The following is a 24,195-nucleotide window of genomic DNA, read 5'->3' on the forward strand; positions in this document are numbered from 1 at the left end:
AAACCACCATGGTACATGTATACCTATTTAATAAACCTGCATGTTCTGCACGTGTATCCCAGAACTTAAAGTATAATAAAAAAAATGATGAGCTCATATATGTATGTGTGTGTGTATACATATATATACAAACACAGTGGGAGAAGGACAGAACCAGGAAATCACATATCTAAATGTAAGAGCTAAAAGTATAAAACTCTTAGAAGAAAACATAGGAGTAAATCTCGTGACATCAAGTTAGGCAATGATTTCTTAGAAATAACATCAAAAGAACATGTAATCAAAACAAAAAAATGATAAATTGGACTACGTCAAAACTAAAAATGTTTATGCTTCAAAGGACACCACCCAGAAGTAAAGAGAAAACCCACAAAATGGGAGAAAATATTTAAAATCACACATTTGATAAGAGACTTATACTCAGAATATATATTAAAGAAAACCTACAATGCACTAAAGACAAATAATTAAAATATAGGCAAAGGATTTTAATTGACATTTCTCTAAAGAAGATATACAAAGGGCCAATAAATGCATGAGAAGATGGTCAACATCATTAGCCATTAGAGAAATGCAAAATAAAACCACAATGAGATAAGACTTTACATTCACCATGATAGCTATAAGAAAGACAGAAAATAATTAACTGTTGGCTAGGATGTGAAAACCTGGAACCCTCATTCATTGCTAGTGGGAATGTAAAGTGGTACAGCCACTTTAGAAATCAGTTTGGTGGTTGCTCAAAACGTTAAACATAGAATTATCATATGACACAGAAATTCCACTCCTAGGTATATACCCAAGAGAAATGAATATATAGGTCCAAAGAAAAACTTGTACACAAATGTTCATAGGAGCATTATTCATAATAAAGAAAAAATGGAAATGACTCAAATGTCCATGGACTGATGAATGGCTAAATAAACGTATCTTTGTAACAGAATATTATATGGCAACAAAAAGAACTCAATTATATATGCTATAATTTGGATGATTCTTGAAAACATTATTCTAAGTGAAAGAAGCCAGTCACAGTGACCACATATTGTAGGATTCCAATTATATGAGATATCCAGAATAGGCAAATCTATAAAGATATGAAGACACAAAGTCCTCATGGTGCTTAAAGCTGGGAGCAGTGGGGCAGGGGTTGGAGGCAACTTGAGAATGATTACTAACGAGCATGAGATTCCTTTTTGGGGAACACAAATTCTAAAACTAGACTGTGGTGATGATTGCACAACCTGTGAATACACTAAAAAAATTGAATTGTACATTTTAAGTGGGTGACATGCATAGTGTATTAATTACATTTCCATAAAACTTAAAACATAAGGAATGTGTAGTCATAGTAGCTATATGCTCAGACAATACAGATAAAAAGATCTCTTAAAAATGAGAGGGGAAATTCATAAAAGCACATACAAAAAATTCTTTTTAACTGTTCTCAGAAATTATATCATCAGTAGTGGCATTAGCATTGTTATTCTGAAATTGTCTCATATATTGTTACCATTTTAATATAATATCTATATCTATTGGTATGCTGAGTCCCAACAAGAGTTCTCTGGAGCAGAACACATTATTATTTTTATTACTTACAAAGAATAAGTAAATAATACTGTTCTGACTTTTCTCTGCCCCAGCTCTTACTCCAGGAGCAAGGTGATGAGAAAGAGATATAATCTTGCAAGTAATTTCATCTACCACAGGCAAGGGGTCTGGAAAAATAAATCTGAGTACTGATTTAGGAAAAAAGAGGCAGCTGTTGTCCCTTCCCTTCTGAGAGTTTCCTTGGAAAAGTAAAGGGAAGGATATGTGCTTTCACACTTTGGAATGTAAATAAATCTTCCTGAGGGGAAAAACTAGTGTCTCCAGCTTTACTACCCAAGAAATGTCTCCAAGGTCCTGGTCTCAACCCTTCCTTTGAAATGTAAACAGATACCTCTAGAAAGGTAAGTCTCTCTGGAGTTTTCACTTAACTGTTCAGTCATAAATTAAGTTCTAAAGCTCATCTTTTAGCCTAGGTCCCAAGTTTCTGTAAAATTTGCTCAGAAGGTCCTAACTGTGCAGAAACATAAGGATATGTTCTCTACAGCCCCACATACAATGTGATATTTATTTTATAGTGTAATACAAAATAAATATGAAGTTGAGTTAAACCAAGATAACAGCTTGTCAAATCAGACTCAAACAAATTGGACACCTTACCCAGTTTCAACCTTTTCTGATAATTTCAAGAAGAGAAGTAATCAGGCAGCCTAACAAATAAGGTAGAGTTCCAAGACCATCAGAACAGCTCTCCAGGTCCTTCACTGCTATACTCTGGCCCAGATTGGCACATGAGGTCAACTAGAATCACAATACCATTCTCTGTTTCTTCCCAACAAAAACAACCTTTTTAAATGCACATTCATAGTCACAGTGACTAGGTTAGTGACTAGAGATTATTGTTCAATAAATTCGGGATTCCATTTGGCTTGAGGATATAATTATACATAGCATAGTATAGGTTTTAAAAGTTATTGGCTTCCAGATGTCATTATGCAACAAGCTCCCTTCAGGATAACATAATGTCATTCCTTTATCCTTCCAATTCTAATCAGTGTAGCATGAGAAAGACAAATTCCCTTTTTATCTGTGATACTTCGGCCATTGGAGAACAAATATAAAGGCCACACTGTTCAGCAATGTCCCATAATTTAGGCTAACCATAGTGTTTCCATAAGTGGGCATCCTTAGCTTGGCTACTAGAACTGCTGGTCATTGATCTTTAAAAACAACAACTTCCATAGCAATTGGAATATTCAAGAGTCTTTCTTCAATATTAGCTTGGCTACTAGAACTGCTGGCAATGAATCTTTAAAAACAACAACTTCCATAGCAATTGGAATATTTAAAAGTCTTTCCTACATAAGAGTATAAGCCCTCTTCTTGCACTGTTGACCAATATGATGTTCCATTAAATACTCTATGAGTCCAGTCATTTAAAGCTTTCTTGTCCCTCTAGGGCCATTTCCAGATGCAGCCAGTCTCCTGGAAGAGAGCTCCCTCTAGTGTCTCTATTTGGATTAGCAAATCCTTTTCATCACGAGCTTTCAGGAACATTATTTTGGTCTGATTTGGTATGATATTAGTAATGGTCCTCAAGACCATTACTAAAAATGCCTTCAGAATATCAAGACAGCAGAGACAATACTCATCAAGCAACAACATGGGTTATTACTGTGGTACATTAGTAAAATTTGTACAATTTAGAAAAATAGTTTGCACACATACAAAAAAGTATCATGAGATTGTCATTTGGTATATTATGTATCAAATACAGCTCTCTCTGGGTGTGTCATAGGCTTTTCACAAACATACTCTGCATAACTCCAGAGAGGAGTTGTTAGTAACATTTATTCATTACATTACATCCAAATCCATCTCCCTCAAGGTGGTCTTCCAATTCCCTTAAATGAATTCCATTCACATTCACATATTCTACATTAGAAGGAAATCAAGCTGTAACAGGCAGTAGAAATCTGCTCTCCATTATACCTAGGTAGATGTCTTAGCAACATATTGTCTTGATTTATGTCCACAAGGAGTGCAAAAGTCCTACTGTTCCGAATCCTCCATCTGTGTACTTTAATTAGTAATAGTCAAATCATCATCATCAAAAAAAAAAAAAAAAAAGAGATCTGAATGGTAAATAGTTGACCCTTGAACATCATGAATATGAACTGCCTGGATCCACTTATATATGGATTTTTTTTTCAATACGTATATTTGGAGAGATGTGTGACAATTTGAAAAAACTCAACATATGAACCATGTAGCCTAGAAATACTGAAAAAATTAAGAGAAAGGTATGTCATGCATGCATGAAATACATGTAGCTGTTCATGTATTTTATCATTTACTACCATAAAATATATACAAATCTATTATAAAAGGTTGAAATTTATCAAAACACGCACATATCATTCACAGGTGAGAGAAAGGTAAACAAAGATGCAGCATTAAATCATAACTGCATAAAATTCACTATTATTATCTATTGTTACTACTGTATTAATTTTGTAGCCAACTTACATTGCCACTGCGGTGAGCTCAAGTGTTGCTAGTGTCTGCTTAAAATACTATGTGATGCTAATCATCTCTGCATGAGCAGAGCAGTTTCTGTCTCCAGTAAATTGTGTATCACAGTAAAAAGTGATCTCTAGTGGTTCTTGCATATATTTCATTGTGTTTAGCGTAAATACTGTAAACCTCGAGTAACAACATGGGACCCATACGAACTGCCACTAGTGATGCTGGATGTGTTCTCAAGACGCAGAGAAAAGTCATGACATTATAAGAAAAAGTTGATGTTCTGTAGATCAAGATCTGCAGCTGTGGTTGCCTGCAATTTCAGACAATGATTCATTTTGTAAACAGATGACATAAATTTACAGTATTGATAAATACAGTACAGTACTATAAGTGTATTTTCCCTTTTTTTTTTTTTCCTTTTTTTTTTTTTTTTTTCTGAGACAGGGTCTTGCTCTTCACCCAGGTTGGAGTGCAGAGGTGCAAAGACAGCTCACTGAGGCCTTGACTTCCCAGGCTCAAGTGATTTTCCCGCCTCAGCCTCCCAAGTAGCTGGGATTACAGGCACACACCACCATGCCCAGCTAATTTTTAAACTTTTTATAGGCATAGGTCTCCCTATGTTGCCCAGGCTGGTCTCACTCCTGATTCAAGCGATCTTGGGCTCCTAAAGTCCTGGGAATACAGGCATGAGCCACTGTACCTGGCCTCTCTTCCTTATAATTGTCTTAGTAACATTTTCTTTTCTCCAGCTTATTTTATTGTAAGAATATAGTATGTAATACATACAACATGCAAAATGTGTTAATGGACTGTTATGTTTTTGGTAAGGCTTCTGGTCAACAGCAGGCTATTAGTAGTTAAATTTTTGGGGTGTCAAAAGTTTTACGTGGCTTTTTAACTGTGCAGGGGGTTGGTGCTCCTAACCACCTTGTAGTTCAAGGGACAACTGGATAGCCTATAAACCAAGAAATGAGTTGTAACTGTAGTGAACTGCTCCTACATTGAGTCATCAAGGGGCACTCTGCCATTTTATTCCTCTAGATTACATAGGTGGAATCTTTTTTTTTTTTTCCTGAGACGGAGTCTTGCTCTGTCGCCCAGGCTGGAGTGCAGTGGCGTGATCTCGGCTCATTGCAACCTCTGCCTCCTGGGTTCATGCCATTCTCCTGCCTCAGCCTCCTGAGTAGCTAGGACTACAGGCGTCCACCACCACGCATGGCTAATTTTTTTGTATTTTCAGTAGAGATGGGGTTTCACCGTGTTAGACACAATGGTCTCGATCTCCTGACCTCGTGATCCGCCCGCCTCGGCCTCCCAAAGTGCTGGGATTACAGGCCATAGGTGGAATCTTTAAGTAGAGCTATACATCACCAATTTCCCTTCTCTCCAGAAAACACATCCAGAGTGTTCTCTCAACATCAGTTAGGTGAGCATCAAATTTGAGAGAGATATCCAAGACAACAACTCAACTTTAGCAAGAATGGAGTAGCTTGGTATTTACCACGGAGAGATACCAAATACCTTATTATTTTCTAGCTCTGAGGCTCTGCCATGGAAGGTCACATGGTTACAGCTCTCCACAGAACTTGAATTCACTTATAATGCCTTTCTATCTCTTATACGTCCCCCCCCGCCATTTCCATCTATTACCTGTTTTGACCCACACCCTTTTCCCCATGATTGGGCTAACTGGCTCAACGGTTGTATTATAAACCCACAGGGACAGTAAAACAGCAGCCTTGTTAGCACTTCTCCTTGGCAGATATTACAGGATTTGACAGATAAGAATCACAAGACACTTGGCTTGTGTTTATGGATAGGCCTTAATTTGCCTACACAGAGTGAAGTTATCCATACCCCTAAAGGCCTTTAAGAATATGCACTGTCAATGTAATGTATTGATATTGTGTTTTGTGCATTGACAACACTTTCCTTTGGTATGTGCAACTTTAAACTCGAGCCTAGGACCATTGGATCAGGCAAAACTAACAAAAAAAAAATCTACGAAATGGGAAAGATATATAGTTGTGTACTTGCCTCCTCCCCCATCATCTCATTCCTATATCGCAATCCTAGAAAGCTTATAAGTAGAGTCCTAGCATTATTTCCTTTCATAGTCAATGTTACTACACCATCATTTAACTGAACAAACTAACCCTTAAACCAGTATAGTTTTTCTAGTGATCAATTTAGTTACTTTGCAAACAAATATATCTTTCAAGAAACAGGAGGTTTTCCAGTAATAGGTAAAAGTGGTCTCACGTTTTTCCTTTATCATTTCTCTCTCTTTTTTAGCAACTAGATATATCCTGCTAAAAGCAGTCCAAAGATACTCTTCCCCTCTAGTAAATACCATTAGTGATTTTTTGTTTCTTTGTTTGTTTTTTGCCATGAGGTCTATAATTATATGTTTATAGAAAGATTATAGAAGTTCTTTCTTCTTTCTTTCCAGGAAGCCTACCCCAGTTACTGGAAAGAATGGATAATAGATCTGCTATTTGGTCTTTTTGTTCCCAAAAATTATGGGATTTTCTAATAAATAATATCTCTTGTGACCTTGATAATCAAGATTCACTGTGGAAGAAAGAGTGCAGTGATGGAATACAGAATTATGATAATCCTTATGTTGTCTTGAATTTGATTGTGAAATATCATGAACTCATGAGTCATTAGATATACACATACAGACATATATCATTTCACATTCAAAGAAATCAGGGCTTCCTGAAAAAAAGGATGTTCTAGGTCTGGGATAGAAAATGTGTAAGATGACCACTTCGTGGCAGCACTGTTTATCACAGTGCCAAACTGGATACTACCTATATGTCATCAATAATAGAATGGACAATTAAATTGTGGTGTTAATTAAATTTAATTAAATTACAGTCTCCCACAAGGGAACACTATACTACAATAAAAATAAACACACTATTGCTTCAGTCAATAATATGGATGAGTCCCTTAAAACATTATAATGAAACAAAGAAGCCAGAAATTTTATGAGTTCATTGATGCCTATAAGACATAAAGGTTACATACCATAATTATAAAAAATATATTTGTATGCATTCATGTAGAACTGACCTTTTTCTATTATAAGACCATTTCATAGAAAAATGGTCCACAAAATTTTACTGATCCCTCTCCCCCACAGAAAGGTCTTATTGTCTCATTTTTTTTTTTTTTGCTTAAATCCAAAAAAAGTCCCTTTTTTTTGGCTTAAATCCATTTAAAATTGTTCTGATAATTTTAAATGGGAGGAAAAAGGCTTAGCAACCTATATTGCATCATTTATATGTTTCTATGTCTTCAGAAGTACTGTGCCATTTAATAAACCTTTCTTTAATATTATTCTAAAGAATAACTTTCATCTTTGCACACCTATAGGCAGTCAGCACACAGGCAGTGCTGTAAATGTTAAAATCAGATCTATATTTTTGTTACTGAGATGCCAAAGACAAATCAGCTCAGTTTTTACATTTTACCCAAAGGCTTGATAAAGCTAATTCCCCATCTCTAATCCCTACAGAGAGGCACAGATAGAAATGAAAGAACACACAATATCGGTTATATACTATTAAAAGATGGCAATAAGGTCAAATTCTTTGACTATCTTTTCAATAAGGGAGGTCTCTCTGGGTCCTAATCCAGTCTTTTATCTATCGGGCAGTAAAAGGAATAGTATGTGTACCTTTCAGTGAGACGTCACGTGAACTTCATTATGGAATTATGTAATCTTAGAAAATTCAAAGAGAGAGTGAGAGACAAAGAAAAAGCAAGAGGGAATACTCTGTACAGAGTCACATAGAAATTCATATGACAAATATAATAACGTTAATCATGAGAGCTGCTCAGCAACCTTTTCTCAGAAATAAAAACATAATATCACTCAATCTTTCTTGTTTTAACAGCTAAGGAGATCAACTACAGATTCACTAAATAAAGGCTTCAACTGAAGACAACACCTCAACTTCAGCAAGAATACAGTAGCTTGGTATTTACCATGGAGAAATATTATGGGGTCTGTACTATTTCTCTTAATTTTATTTAAAAACTGAATGTATCTGTAAAATCTTCTACAGCTTGAGACCTTGTTATTTCAGAGATCTGCAAGGTAAACACTTTCAAATGAGGTACATGATTTAGGCTTTGGGAACTCTCAGGTTTCAGGGCATTTTCTATAACAGGTTCACGAAATGAACAGACTGGGCTCAAACCCTACGGTTTCTCAAAAATGAATATAATTATAGAAATTCCAAATAAATTAAATGTGCTCATATGTAATGTCCATACTTGAATCAGATTACCACCTGCCTGCTGTGTCTATGCTAACTAATCAGATAACTTTTTCTCAAACATGATTTTCTCACCATCCCCAACAAAAACCAGTACCCTATTTATTTTTTATAACAAAAACAAAACCATCATTCTATTTTAGCATTATTCAAAATATGCTAAAAAATACAAGGAAAATGTTTTGTGTCAAATACATATTATAAAAAGCTTCCAAAAAACCTCAAAACAAAACAAAAATAACCCTTGTATTTCCTGTTTCCTACAAGCCTAAATTCCAAACCCTAAAAAAAAAAGAACTTAAAATGAAGGACTATAATACAATATCAGTTTTAGAACCTGTTATATGTTAAAAAAAAAAAAAAAAGCCTTACTAGTAATCACTTCGGCAAATGGTCAAAAGACCACTTTAAAACTTCCTTTTCTTTATGCAAGGAAGGTGCTTACTCAATTTCTTCAGCTGTGACTCCACATTTTTATATTCTAAATCAGTTTTCTTTGTTCATTTTAACTACTTATTAGTGAACTGAGATCATCTATGTGGCAACAAACAGCTCCCTTGATAGTTTGGCTGCATACCCAAAGCTGCTACTTTGATGATCATTGCTTGAATGTTAGATGATATCATCTCTCTGAGCAAATCTTCCTGGTTTCTCTGCCAAAGATAAGCTAAAGGCTGGAGATTAAGCCTTTTACACCTACAAAAGAAAAAGAAAAAGAAAGTCAGATGATCTCTTAATGTTTTATACTTGGATCCACAGCAATTACTTTGATTTGAAACATAATGCTTCGTTCAAGGATTTTAGCATTGAAAATGCTTTTAAAAACATATTTTGCATAATGTTTATATATACAACATAAACATATTTAATTTCCATGGGTTATGCATAAACTGATAAAAATGAAATTTCCAGGCACACTAGAAATATTAATTTTAGTAAGACTCTTAGTTTAGAAATCTATGTAAAAGAATTTACAAATGCCAGTATACTCTCATTTTTAAAACTTTCATGGGTATCAAAATTTTGAAGCATATGTAAAGTGGGCCAATAATTTATCCTAATAAAATAGCCACATATTTATTAAATTAACAATAGCTACAGTTATGTGAACTATTCTTATCTACTAACTTTGAATTTTTTTTTAAGAATTTGAATAAAAAGAAAATAGTAAGAAAAAAAGTACAATGCTGCAGGCACTGTACTAGATATTTTCCATTATTGGTAAAGTAGAAAAAATATAGGTTTTGGAGTGAAGACACATCTGAATTTAAAACCTCATTTTGTACTCTAGCTGCATGGCTTTTGAAGTCAAGTAAAATCTAAGTCCTTGTGCTTAGTTTCCTAGTTCATAAATAGGGGCAAAAATAGTTCCTTTCAAAGTTCTTAAGAGGATTAAAAAATGTGAAATGAAATCATCCTTTCCTTTTCTTCGCATTCCACATCCAATCTACCACAATGCAGAATGTGATCATTCCTCACTAACACCACTGCTAACAACCTCGTTTGAGCCACCATTCTCTCTCATGTCAACATCCTAATTTCCTTCCCTGCTTCCACCCTCACCCTTTTAAAATCCATTTTCAACACAGCAGCCAATGTGATCCTTTTAAGACATAAAATAGGACAGGCGCGGTGACTCACGACTGTAATGCCAGCACTTTGGGAGGCCAAGGCGGGTGGATCACGAGGTCAGGAAATCGAGACCATCCTGGCTAACACGGTGAAACCCCGTCTCTACTAAAAATACAAAAAATTAGCCAGGCATGGTGGCGGGCGCCTGTGGTCCCAGCTACTCGGGAGGCTGAGGCAGGAGAATGGCGTGAACCTGGGAGGCGGAGCTTGCCGTAAGCCGAGATTGCGCCGCTGCACTCCAGCCTGGGCGACAGAGCGAGACTCTGTCTCAAAAAACAAACAAACAAAAAAAGAAGACATAAAATAGATCATAGGATTCCTCTGCTCAAAACCCTCCAGTGGCTCCCCATCACTCCATGGATCTCACCCTGTTTAGTTCCTGCACTTTATTTCCTACTACTTATTCTCTTCTCACTCCATCCTACCACTCACTGCTGCCTGCTCATTCTTGCCTATTACACTAGTTTCGTGCCTTTGCTTAAATGTCACTTTCTCAGAGAGGACTATAATTGTTTAATGAATTAAAGGTAATATAGATAATGTAGTACAATGCCTGGATAAAACAGGTATTCAATAAATGATAGTCAAAGCCAAGTGACTTGCCCAAGTCATACACTAACTGGCTGAGATCAGATTTCAAACCAAGAATATAGCTCTAAAACCCAGTGTCTATAAGGTTTATAAGTAAAACCCAGCGTCCCTAGCATCTGTAAGGCTGCTTGGCCGACTTCTCTGGCCTATATTGATCTCTCTCTCTCTCTCTCTCTCTCTCAGAGATCCCAATACTTATTAAATGTACCATGTTTGGTCATTTATTCATACATGGCCTTAAAAATATCACTATTTTTTTCATTTACATATACCCTGACTTTCAAAAAACCAAAACCTTCCTCATTGCAGAGATTGTTGCGTGTAATTTTCCCTTTTAAAATGTCTCAGAACATCTAAAGCAATGCTGAAGCAGTTAATAAATACAAAAAGAATAAAATGTGAACTACCCATGTAATACAAACATAATTGCAGAATGTAAAGTGTTTAATAGATGTCACAAGTTCAAATTCAGCAGTGATTTACAGAGTAAGTTTATTTGAGCCATGATATTTTGAACTGTTAAAGAACTTAAATAGGTTAAAAAATTTTACTTAAGTCTATAGTCAAGAGATTTTGAGGAATTTCAAAGCAACAACCACGAATTTTACGATAAGGACAGGAAGAAAAAACTTTTTGTCCATAAAAAAATAAATCTTAGTTTAAAAAGGTAGAGAGGCTGTTTTGATTAGTAGGCATTAAACACTGGGTGAGAGGACAGCAAGAACTAGTAATAATACAACACAAACTAAAATTTGGGCATAGGCTAATTCAAAATTGAGTTTGTGGACCAATGGACTCCCAGTAACATTACTTTTGAAGTTTCAAGGATAAAATAATTGCAGATATGCTTTATAATATAACGTCTGTTCATCTGTTCAACCGTGTGTTGAAGTGTACCAGTGATTGTGTTTTGAGAAAGTCTCTACCCATGGGCATGACATGTGCCCTTCTTCCATATATATATACACATATATGTAATGGGCAGCCTCCTAATCAGGAGCACATTTTTATTTGGCTTTTTAACTTTCATAAATAGATGTCATCCCTATCTCCAGTTTGGCTACCCATTAAAGCCTGTGGGTTTGAACTTCTTAAAAAACACTAATTTTTAAACTAAATAATTCTCAGAGAATATGATCTAAAACTTGATGACAATACTATTATTTCTAATGTCTGGCTTAAGGGATATGCAATTCATCTCCATCTGCAGATCAGTTGTTCTCAACGGTAGATCTACATCTAGGTAGAATGTAAGGAAAAGTTTCTCAAAATACACATGACCTCCTTCCCCACTCCATCATCATCATCCATCGTCCAGAGATTCTGATACACCTCTAAAATGTAAGATCATATTTCTCTTCACTTAACTATGCTTTACCTTGTTTTCCCTTCATTCACTCTTAAAATTCTGTATTTTTTTTAACTGCCCTAAATCCACCATGGAATTAGAGAGAAAATAAATAAAATAAAAATGAAACAAGTGTTCAAATCTATTAATATGTAGGTTTTAAATGAGATAGTAAATAGGAATGTTTCTTTATCAAGAATATAAAAATATTATATAAATACAGCCATTATCTTATTCTATTTATCCTTTTGACTAGCAAAATCACTTATTTGTAGGTCAAATTGTGCTTAAGAAAAATAATGCAGTCCAATTTTTTTTGTTAATATAATTATGCCCAGAATCTCTATAAAATATTATATTTATCTAGATAAATTAAAAATGAAAAGTAAATTCATTCAGGTGGTGTCTTGCCAGGCCAACATTAAATAACCAATATTATCATTTAACCTCATGATTTTTGAATAGATCAATAGAATTGACCGTTTTGGTATGTGCAGTTACAGACTAAATGCTTCACTAGTGCTCCCTCCCTTAGGGGAGTAGAGACGGGCTAGGACGAGGGGAGGAACATCCTAAAAATTCCCTGAAAGTTGAATGGCTTTATATGTAAGCATTTCAATCATATAAATATTTTTAGACAAGAACTGAATTATATGAACCAAAGAGGAGAGGACTCCTTAGTAAACATTTTTTCTTTAAAATATTACTGTATTCCTTTTATTATCTCTTGATTTTTATTACAAATGATGAGTTAAAAGAGATTAACAGGATATACTAAATCAAATAAGAAAAAAGTGAAGAGAATACTTCTCACTAAAAAATCTGTCTCAATTCTATTATAGATTATTTTTCCTTACACTAAATAAGTTAAGTTTCCTCATGTGAGATATAAGGATAGAAAAAAGGAAAAGCATGACTTTTGTTACTTAGGTAAATACACACATTTAGTTCCATGGAGCACGTAGACTACCATACCTATTTATAATTTGAATATGATTATTATTTTTCACTTATTCACATTCTTAAAACACATACACTTTTAAAACTAACAAATTAATGTTTTCTTACACATTTTCCACTCGAATACGCTGATAGTCAGAAAGTATAGCACCTACTGATATCCCCTCTACTTCTTCTTTTTCCTGAAAATAAAGAAAAAAACCATAACTTTAAAAATAAAGTAACAAATGGCTCCACATCATGCTCTGAAAATTATAAATGAACTGTGTCTCATCTAGAAAACTACCTCAAACCAGAGTAATTTACTGAAAATATAATCGACATTCAGAAAAAATTTGCATATATTTAAATCATTCTCTCAGCTGTGAGAAAAATAATTATGGTTTTACTTAAAATTTAAATAACTGAGATCCCTTTCCATGGAGAAAGCAAAGACTTAGGCAGCACTTCCAAAATGTTTCACACTTAACGTATTTTTAAAGACTCACTGATGTTCGATGGAAACTTTTGAGAAATTTCTATTTAAGGACAGTATTTTCCCAGATTGAGTAACTTCTTTTAAAAATTAAGCAATGGCATAAATAGATAAGGGAGCACAATAATTTTTCTGTAAATCTTAGAAAAAAAATGATTGAAATAGGAGTATCCAGAAAGCAGAGATGGTAGAGGCATTGCCTGGATAACAGTATAGCACTGTAGATAAAGAATTCTGTCATGGGAAGGAAGCAATGAATTATTATCAACATAGTTGCAACTGAGAGCATCCAGCAGTATATACAGCATGGTCCCACAGGAATGACAACTATCCTGTCTAGCATACTCATTAATGAGCTGGAGGAGAATGTAAATTCAAGTATGATCAAGTTTGCAGAGGATACAAAGCTAGAATGGATTAAAAAGAAAACAAAACAAGATCAATCAAGTACATGGATGGATTATGGACAACATGGGGATTTGAAATGACAGGTCCAAGGTGAGATTTAATGTAAAGAGTATAAGATAATACACTTAGGGAAGAATAATACACAATATGGGTGTAAACTAGGGAACTGTTATCTAGAAAACAGATATGAAGAAAGTGACTAGGGGGTGATTACTAATAACAAACTGAATAGAAATTCTCTGAATAGGTGTAAAAGAAATCCATCCTAGCCTGTGGATGTACAAAAGAAACTACTTCAGAGAGATCGCTTCATCATGAATACTCTGGTCTTACCAAACTTGGACAACTAGAAAGAAAAACAAAAGTGTTTCACATCAAACAAAAGTTAATATTTCAAGTCATACTGAAATAACCCTGTGTACCTAAAAGGATGCCATAATAAATAAACAAAAATGCAAAAAAGGAATTTTTTATGTCTTTAAAGTCGATTTAAAATTTGCCCTCCAAAATGATGGAGAAATACCTGCCCAAATCACCCCAAAATAAAACGATTATTTTTATCAGATAAGGTGTCAGGAAAAGAGCTATTTCCTTTACTTTCCTATTTCAGCAACTTTGTGAGAACATTTGCTTATAACCTTTCCCTAACCTTCCTAGCCATTTTTGTTTTCATGAAAGTCTTTGTATTCATTAGAAAAAGTCATGACATAGAGTTCCTTATTAAATGTAAATACAGTATAGATCAGAGTTGCTGAATAATGTTATCAAAATTTTAGTTATATTCCTATATCATATAGATGTTTATCTGAAGTTCTGCTATAAAAATAATGAAGTACTAAATATTATAGATGTATAGGAGTGTGTGTATTTCTCTAGAGATCATGGAAACAAAGACAAAAGCCACTGTTGTTTTCTTCCTTAACTAAGTCAAATTACTATATATATATATATATTTATTTATTTATTTATTATTATTTTTTTTTTGAGATGGAGTCTTGCTCTGCCACCCAGGCTGGAGTGCAGTGGCACGATCTCAGCTCACTGCAACCTCCGCCTCCAGGGTTCAAGCGATTCTTCTGCCTCAGCCTCCCGACTAGCTGGGACTACAGGTGTGTGCCACCACGCCCAGCTAAGTTTTGTATTTTTAGTAGAGACGGGGTTTCACCATATTGGCCAGGCTGGTCTCGAACTCCTGACCTGGTGATCCACCTGCCTCGGCCTCCCAAAGTGCTGGGATTACAGGCGTGAGCCACTGTGCCTGGCTGTCAAATTACTATTAAAATAATAATTGGAATTTATTATCCATTTGCCATTCACTAGTGTGCTATGATTTTTAGTTAATGCTCATCACAACCCTAAAACAATTTCTTCTTTGTATACATGCATTCTCTGGAATTATCTTCTACTCCCATCTATTTCATTTTATTTCATGTATTTTTAATTTTTATTTATTTACTTATTTAGAGACAGAGTCTCACTCCCTCTGCTGCCCAGGCTGGAGTGCAGTGGGGTGATCTCAGCTCCAGGGTTCAAGCGATTCTTCTGCCTCAGCCTCCAGAGTAACTGGGACTACAGACGTGTACCACCATGCCCAGCTATTTTTTTCTATTTTTAGTAGAGATGGGGTTTCACTGTGTTGCCCAGGCTGGTCTCGAACTCCTGGACTCAACTGATCTGCCCGCCTTGGCCTCCCAAAGTGCTGGGATGACAAGCTTGAGCCATCGTGCCTGGCCCCATTTATTTTATTTTTTGTTTGATAACACTTAACTAATCAGCACTAAGTAAACTCTGACTATTCTTCAACACTGAGCCTATATACAGACCATCAGTTGTATTTGTTCAATAATTTTTTTTTGAGGCCTCCTGGGTTCAAGTGATTCTTGTGCCTCAGCCTCCTGAGGAGCTGGGATTACAGGCATGTGTTGTGTCAGGAAGCCCAGCTAATTTTTGTATTTTAGTAGAGACAAGATTTTGCCATGTTGCCCAGGCTGGTCTTGAACTCCTGACCTTAAGTGATTTGCCTGCCTTGGCCTCCCAAATTGCTGGGATTACAGGTGTGAGCCACCACACCTGGCCCAATAACTGTAATTACTACTGCCTGGTAGAAATCCAGCCCTGTTACTAGCTCTGTGATTTTGAATGTTACTGAATTTCTCTGTGTCTGTTTCCTCACCTATAAAGTGAAGACAAAAAATATCAATTCCTATTTTCCAAGGTTACTATGGAGATTGAATAAAATAATTCAGGCAAATAACACAGTATCCAGCACCTGGTAAGCATTCAGCAAATATTTTCTTCTTTCATTATTATGATCTTTACTATTCCTATTACTTCTATAACTACCTGTGTTACTACTTCTACTATTACTACTACTGACTACTACTACAGTCATCTCTCATTATCAGTGGGGGATTGTTTCCAGAAATCCCCCTCAAATCAAAATCCACAGATTCTCAAGTCCATTAATATAAGATAGTATAGTATTTGCATATAACCAATGCATATCCTTGCATAAACTTTAGTCTCCAGATTACTTATAATACCCAAATACAAGGTAAATGCTATGTAAATAGCTGCCATACTGTATTTTTAAAATTTGTATTTTTATTTTTGTATTCTTATTTTTTATTGGTTCTTCCTCATAATATTTTTTATCTACAGTGGGTTGAATCCGTGGATGTGAATCCGTGGATACAGAGGGCTGACCGTACTGCTACTACTGGATAAAAACCTAACTCTTTCATTTTGATGGACAAAGCCCTTCACTCATGGGTTTTAACACTCTTTCTCATTATGACTTCTCAAGACTAGCCTACTAACCCTTGACACGCAACTCTAGGTAGAGTTGCAACACAGTTTTCCAGCACAGTGAGACCTGAATAATCCAGGGATAAGAATGACTTCTGCTGATTCCTTAATCATTTTGAACGCAACTACAAATAAAGGGCAAAATAGATATTTAAAAGATAAAGATCTACCACATAGTCAATCTACGCCTTAGAAAAGACATAGCTAGGTTCGGGTCCTGATCCCTGACCCATATCATTTGGGAGAAAAAGTCAGTAAATAAACAATAGCAATGGAAGTGTCAGCAGAGAAAAAAAGAGAATGGCTACTACCATAAAAGATGTACTGAGACAGCATAAAGACAGCCAAATGAATCACCTTGTGTCATAGCTGAAATAAAACCAAGTATGCTACAGGAAATTAGTAATATAGACTCTGGGACCCTATCCCTACAAATTTTTTAAACCAACTCAACTGAGGTATAATCATGTACAATCAACTGCATACAGTTAAAATACATAATGCAATCCTTTTGGATCAAAACCAGTGAAACTGGTACTGTAATCAAGATAGACATCATTTCAGTTATTCCCAAACAGTTCCCGTGCCCCTTGCAGCCCAATTCTCCCTTCAAACCTGGAGAGAGATAAGGAGAGAACCTAAAGAATGGGACCAATGTTTCTACCTTAAATGACTATTAACTGAGAAAGAAAATATATACATGTTTTAAAAGAAAATACTCTGTTTATTTAGTTTTGCATATGTTGTATTCAATTTGTTTGCTAGGTATCTTTGTGTGGCTCATACTGTCACAACAAAATACCATGTAGACTGGGTTGCTTAAACAACAGAAATTTACTTTCTCACAGTTATGGAGGCCAGAAGTCTAAGCTCAAGATGCCAGCATGAATTCTCTGGGACTCTCTTAAGGCTTCTCTTCCTGCCTTGTAGATGATCGTCATCTTGCTGTGTCTTCACATGGTTCCAGGGGTGGCAGGGAGAAAGTGCAAACTCCTTTCTGGTGTCTTTTCTTACAAGGATACTAATTCTATCATGAGGGCCTCACTTTCATAACCTCATCTAAACCTAATTATCTCCCAAAGGAGATCCAAATACCATCCAAATACATCTCCAAATACCATCACATGTGAGGCTAGGGCTTCAACATATGAATTTGGGTTGGGGGGCATAATTAGTTTATAGCACTATCCAAATAGATAAGACTATTAGGTACACTGAATACAACTCTGGTGCTCAAGACAGTATAGGAATATATGTGGGTGTTGTCAGTATATACTTGAAGCCACGGGAGCAAACAAGAACCTCAAGAAATAGGATATAGGGTGAGAAGAGGGCTGAGTGGAAGACACCGGGGGTACACCAACATGTAAGGAGAGGTAAGGGAAGGAAAACCCAGTGAAGACGTTCGAAAAGAGTGGTCATAATGACAGAAGATATAATCAGGATAAAGTAACTGTGTGCACAAATATACAGAAAATTTTGATGAAAAGGCAAGGACAAAGTAACAACATTACCAAGTACCCAGTATGCACTAAGATTTATGTTAGGTACTTTGTTTATCTTATTTCAGTTATTCCTCATAACAATCCAAAATACTATTAAACTGATTTCATATGTGAAAAAACCAAGGTGATTAACCCATTCAAGTTAACAAAGCTGGTAAATAAAACACCAAGCCTTTAAATTAAGGACCATCTACCAACCACAGCTGTGCTCTTTCTTACTGACATAGTACCATATGCTATAGAAACTTCAACAAAACCATTGTATTTTACCATTAGGGGGTTGATTATGACCATTTAGGAGAAAGCTGCAGTCATGATTAACAGAAAAAAGAATAAACATCTGAAGGAAAGACACATACACTGCCAGTTCTTCAAAGAATGAATTTCAGATCCTCAGAGGAAAAAAAAGTATAATTAATCAGTGAATGAATATTTATTACTAAATTTAATAGAATTTGGAGATTTTAATTCATATTAAATTACATTCTTGTCATGAAGATAACCAAAAGCTAATCAAGTAGTAGAGACCAAACGGGAAGAAAATAGAAATTAAAGATAATAATGCTAGTAACTGAGAACTTAGAGACAAAGACTGGACCCTAAATAGGCTGGCACATTGCTAAACCACAGGGGCTCTCCGACACAAGTGAGACTATTCTGCTTAGGCCATTATCACTATAAATGATGATATATAAGTTCATCTCAGGAAATAAAGTCAGCAGTAGCATCACTGAGTATTAGAAATAGCAGTGCATAATGTCATTAAACATTTATATTAGTATTAGTTACTGCTCTCAACAACGCTCTGAGGTGGATTATCATTATCTTCCTCACTTTGTAAATATCGGACATTAACAGATTCTTACAAAGTTAACTATGACCAAATTAGACAAGCAGGCATCACAGGCCCATTTGTTGCTTAGAATACTTTTCTTCTCCAATCTCTGTCAATATGAATCACACCTGCAGGATTGCTGGGAAGCTAGTCCAGGCAGCTGTCTGACCTATGTCGACAATTTTAACAATAGAGACGGCACTTCCTAAAGCAAAGAGATACTCACAAACTGGTAAAAAAAAAAAAAAAAAAGGTTCATTACTAGAACTATTTCCACACCTATCTGTAGGCAAAAGAACAGTTATACCAAGAATTTATTCAGAAAGAGCCAATAAATATATCAATACAATGTTTAAGAATCCAAGAGCTGAATCTAGATGATCAACCATGGTTCTCAGAATACTTATTTATTTATTCATTTATTTATTTATTTGAGATGGAGTCTCGCTCTGTCGCCCAGGCTGGAATGCAGTGGCGTGATCTTGGCTCACTGCAACCTCCGCCTGCCGGGTTCAAGCAATTCTCCCGCCTCAGCCTTCGAATAGCTGGGACTACAGGCGCGTGCCACCATACCCTTAATTTTTTTGTACTTTTAGTAGAGATGGGGTTTCACCATGCTGGCCTCAAACTCCAGACCTTGTGATCCTCCTGCCTTGGCCTCCCAAAGTGCTGGGATTACAGGCATGAGCTACTGTACCCAGCCAGAATACATTTTTGTTAATGTACAAAGAAAAGCCACAGCAATCTTCAAGTTCCTCCACTGAGGCTGGGAAGCACTATGTAGTAAACAGTTGATTTTTGCAACTGGGAGTGCATGGGAGTATGCATGCACATGCACATACATGCTGTATATGTATCAGTCAAGTGCAGCCTTTGGTCTTTTAAATACAATGAAAGAAATTCTTAGTTGTGATCTTTTTTTTTTTTTTAAGGAAAGAAGGACCAAGTCTTCTTTTGGAAGTATACATGGCACACTGCTAATAATGATGATACCCTGGAGAGTGGGAATGGGTGGAGAATGAAGGAAGGGGGTACGGACTTCCACTTTTTACTTTATATATTCTTGTATTTCTTAAACATTTCTTTAAACCAAGAATATGTCAAAGGAAGCTATAAAAATTTAGGTTGAAAAAGAAAAAACAGGGTAATGTTTTTCAAAGAACCACTTACTCTCTTCTATATAGAAGGAAAGCTATATTTTCCCCCTAAAATTCCAGCATTTGGATATCCTAGGTAAAACACTTTTGAATTCTGAGTTAGGCTGCAGATTCAACAAAGCTCTTGATCCAGCACATATATCCATCCCACACAGAAATCCTCCCTATTGCTCCTCATTTTAGGAAATGGCACAACATGTATATTGTTATTCAGGCCAAAAACTTTAGATTCACTCATGATTTCTCTTTTCTTTATGACGTGCATCCTATCAATCAGTAGTTCTGTGAGCTTCACCTTCCAAAAATATCCCAGATTCCAACCACTTCTCATCACCTCCACTACTACCACTCTAGTCCTAATGACCACCACCCCTTAATTTGACTATTACCATAGCTTCCTAACTGGCCTCCCTAAGTCCACTCTTCCTCCCTACAGTCTATCTCCACAAACAGAGTGATCTTTCTAAACACAAGCCATGGCATGAAGCTTCCCCAATTCAAAATCCTTCAGTGACTTCCCATTCTATTTAAGAATAAAATCCAAGCTCCTTGCAGATAGCCTTAAAGGTATTTATGCCTGGACTCTGCCAACCTCTCTGACATCACCACCAACTACTGCACTCCCAAGTATACTCCACTGATGCACACTGCAGTCCTTACTGCTCCTCAAACACCTATGCTTGTTTCCACCTCAAGGTCTCTGGGCTTACCTTTGCCTGTGCCTGTAAAACACCTTCCCTAGAATTTATGTGGCTTATTCCCTCACTTCTTCCAGGTCTCTGTGAAAATATCTCAGAGAGGACTTCTCTTTCTAAAATATCCCTCCTAACCTTTCACCATCACTTTCTATGTCCTTGCCCTGGCTTTATTTTCTTCACAGTACTACCTAAAATTATATCATTTTTTAAAAATTAAATATTTATGTTTAAAATGTCTGTCTCAGCTCCATGATGGTACTTGGTCCCGTTCCCACTGTAATCTCAGCTCTAGAAAAGTACCTGGTACAATATTAAATAAATATTTATAACTGAATGATGTGGACTACATAAAATTACAGTATTTCTGTACTTAAACAATGACCTAAAACAAAGGCAATAAATAGAAATAAAATTACCATTTGGTAATATACATAACAAAGGGTATCTTTGTCTTTCAAATCAATATGGGATGAATTAACACACCAGTAGTAAAAATGAGGAAAGGATATTAATAGGTAATTTTTAAGAGAATACAAATAACTAATTTCAACCTCTTAAAAAACAAAGAAAATATAAGCTAAAATTAGATACTTTTTGTCAAACAGATATATACGAGTATGTGCGTGTGTGTGTGTAAAATTTGATAAATACTCAGATTAAAAGTTGATGAGTGTATGGGGAATTGCATAATCTCATATGCCACCAATGGGGCTGTTATCAGTGCATCCTTTCTGAAAAATAATTTTGTAGTATGTATCATGAACCTTCATGATGTTTATTCTCATAGTCCCAGAAATTTCAAATTTATATCCAGAAATGCAGTCTATAAAAATAATTGTAAATGTGCACAAGTTATATAAATATTTATCATATTTATATTCTACATGTAAGTGAAATACAAATTAGAAAACCCTAAAATCCTAAACAAAAGGATGATTCAATGAACTGTGGTACATTTGGAAGAGGGAAAACAAAGCAGTCATTAAAAGACATATTTTCAAAGGACATGAAATACAAGGAACTACTAATGATATAAGGCTAAGCGAAGCAAATGTTCATAAAGTACATACTAAAATATGTATTTTTTGAAATAGCCCTAAGTGTAGAAAGAGGACCAGAAATAGACCAAAGTGTAATAATTCTTATTTTTGAGTAGTATTTCATTTTTGCTATTTTATTTCCAACTTTATATTTTAAGTATTTTTACAACCCATGTATTACTTTCTTAATTAGAGGGAAATGATATTAAAAATATACCTATGGATATATATATATACACATTCATCTCTTATCCCATGTGCTGGTAAGCTGTCAGACACAATCATTCATATATTTATCAAACAGTAATTTTAAAAGTCCCACTTTGTGACAGGTCCTATACTAGGAAAGTTAAAACACATTAGAAAACAGCACAGTCGATGTTCTTAAAAAATTAAAATCTAGTGATAAGAAATGCAGAGGAATGGACACATAAAGAAATAAGTCAAATGGCTGGGCGTGGTGGCTCACACATGTAATCTCAGCACTTTGGGAGGCCAAGGCAGGCGGATCACAAGGTCAGGAGTTCGAGACCATCCTGGCCAACATAGTAAAACCCTGTCTCTACTAAAAATACAAAAATTATCTGGGCGTGGTGGCACGCGCCTGTAATCCCAGCTACTTGGGAGGCTGAGGCAGGAGAATCACTTGAACCAGGGAGTCAGAGGTTGCAGTGAGCCGAGATCGTGCTACAGTACTCCAGCCTGGCAATAGGGCAAGACTTTGTCTCAAAAAAAAAAAAAAATAAGGCAAATATGTGACATAAGTCTATATACATTATAACAGACCACAAGGGAGACAATTCTCACCTATAGGATAACATTAGGAAATACTTTTTTAAAAAATTATATTCCAGATACTAAACAGTCAGAAATGCTGATTCTTTGTCCTTCTAGATGATAAGAAAATAGATTCATAGCAGATAACAGCTCCTACTGATGTCTTCCAACATCTTCCCTAAAATAGCATTTATGTATAAAATCTGACAAATATTTTTTTCAAAGAAACAAATCTGGTTCTAAAAAGATATATAAATAATTTATCTGTCAACAAATCCTCACAATCCTAACTGTTGGTCTCCATTTGGTAGCTGACTGTGTGCTTGAATCTTCTATTAAACAACCCATCAATAAGGACCTAATATGTCATAGTCCTATTCTAATCACCAAAATGTAAACCTGTCTGTAAGAGTTTATAACCTAGTCCTAAAGATTTGTTAATGACTACTCTCAAAACCAGTGCACTAAAGTGTCAAGAACATACACACATGAGGATGGAAATGGACTTCTACTATAAAATGTACCCCATGTTGTGTTATTCATATGCAAATTTCTACTATATTACATGCAGCTAAAAGGCAACCAATACAGAGTTTGAGATGAGGAAGACATTCAGCCATATGGTCATAGTGATGATCACAAGTTTAGCAGAAGGAATTAAAGGTAGAAATCTAGACACAAATTAGACTGTTGACTCAATATCCACTTGTCTCAATACTGAAATGTTGGCTCACAGAGCCAACAAGGTAAATTGAAAACAAGTGGTCCTTTCTTATAAATGAAAACTCAGCCTACTTATTACAAAGATAAGAAGATATGCAGCTTGCATTTATCGGGGATATAATTTTCTTTGAAAAATGCCTCAGTTACCAGTTTTATTCTGTTAATGAGTTCCTGCCTGTTGAGAAAAAAAATGATCTTCTGAATTCAAAGTGTTTTTCATCTGAAAGGCATTCTAACATTTTTAATACGAACCATTCATTAAAGAAGCACACTTGCATTATAGCTCTGAGTGGCAATATTTGGACTTCTGGTAACACAACATTATTAAATAAACATTTGTGAATGCCAACGACGTTCTAGGGCCTGGATAACTAAGCGAGAAATTTATATGGCAAGTATAGCATTAGATGCTTTTTCCTTAAACTTCAAATTTTTCACTTTGGTAGAATTACACAAGTCTAGGCTAATAAAAATAACCAAAGAAATGAATATTATCTTAAATAAAATGATTCTGAAAGTGACACTTAGAATTCCAAGTAATATATTCAGGAATCTAATTAAAATATTGCTGGACTAGTTAAAAAATCTTTTGTTTTTTTCTTAAAATCATCAATATAAAAAAATTTCTAAAATGGAAAATGATCACCATCTGGAGCTCCCCCATTAAACAGTGAGCTCATGACAGAATATTAGGTCACTAATTTGTAGTATTATTATCTCCCATTGTGGGCTTTCATTAAATAGGGGAAAAAGTTGTTAAGGCTGAAAGTAAAATGACAAAGAAATTGCAGAAGAGCATAATAATTTGTCAGTTATATCCATTTAAAACAATGTTATTTTACTTCTAAGTCTCCATCTTAGTT

General features: G+C 35.3%; 1 protein-coding gene across 11 annotated transcripts in view; it reads right to left on the reverse strand.

Annotated features, from left to right (window-relative positions):
- Positions 1-24,195, reverse strand: part of DPH6 (diphthamine biosynthesis 6) — a 401,189-nt gene that overhangs the window by 296,756 nt on the left and 80,238 nt on the right. For all 11 annotated transcript variants that reach the window (XR_001751412.3, XR_007064493.1, XR_001751413.3 and 8 more), the window contains exons 4-5: positions 13,015-13,088; positions 8,953-9,071 (exon numbers count right to left, since the gene is read on the reverse strand). Coding sequence is in view for 7 of the 11 variants with exons in the window: in XM_047433263.1 (XP_047289219.1) it covers positions 8,953-9,071; positions 13,015-13,088 (193 nt within the window). In the remaining 4 variants the exon portion in view is untranslated. The remainder of the gene's footprint in view (positions 1-8,952; positions 9,072-13,014; positions 13,089-24,195) is intronic.

The sequence above is a fragment of the Homo sapiens genome, chromosome 15 (genome assembly GCF_000001405.40).
Source record: "Homo sapiens chromosome 15, GRCh38.p14 Primary Assembly".
NCBI lineage: Eukaryota > Metazoa > Chordata > Mammalia > Primates > Hominidae > Homo > Homo sapiens.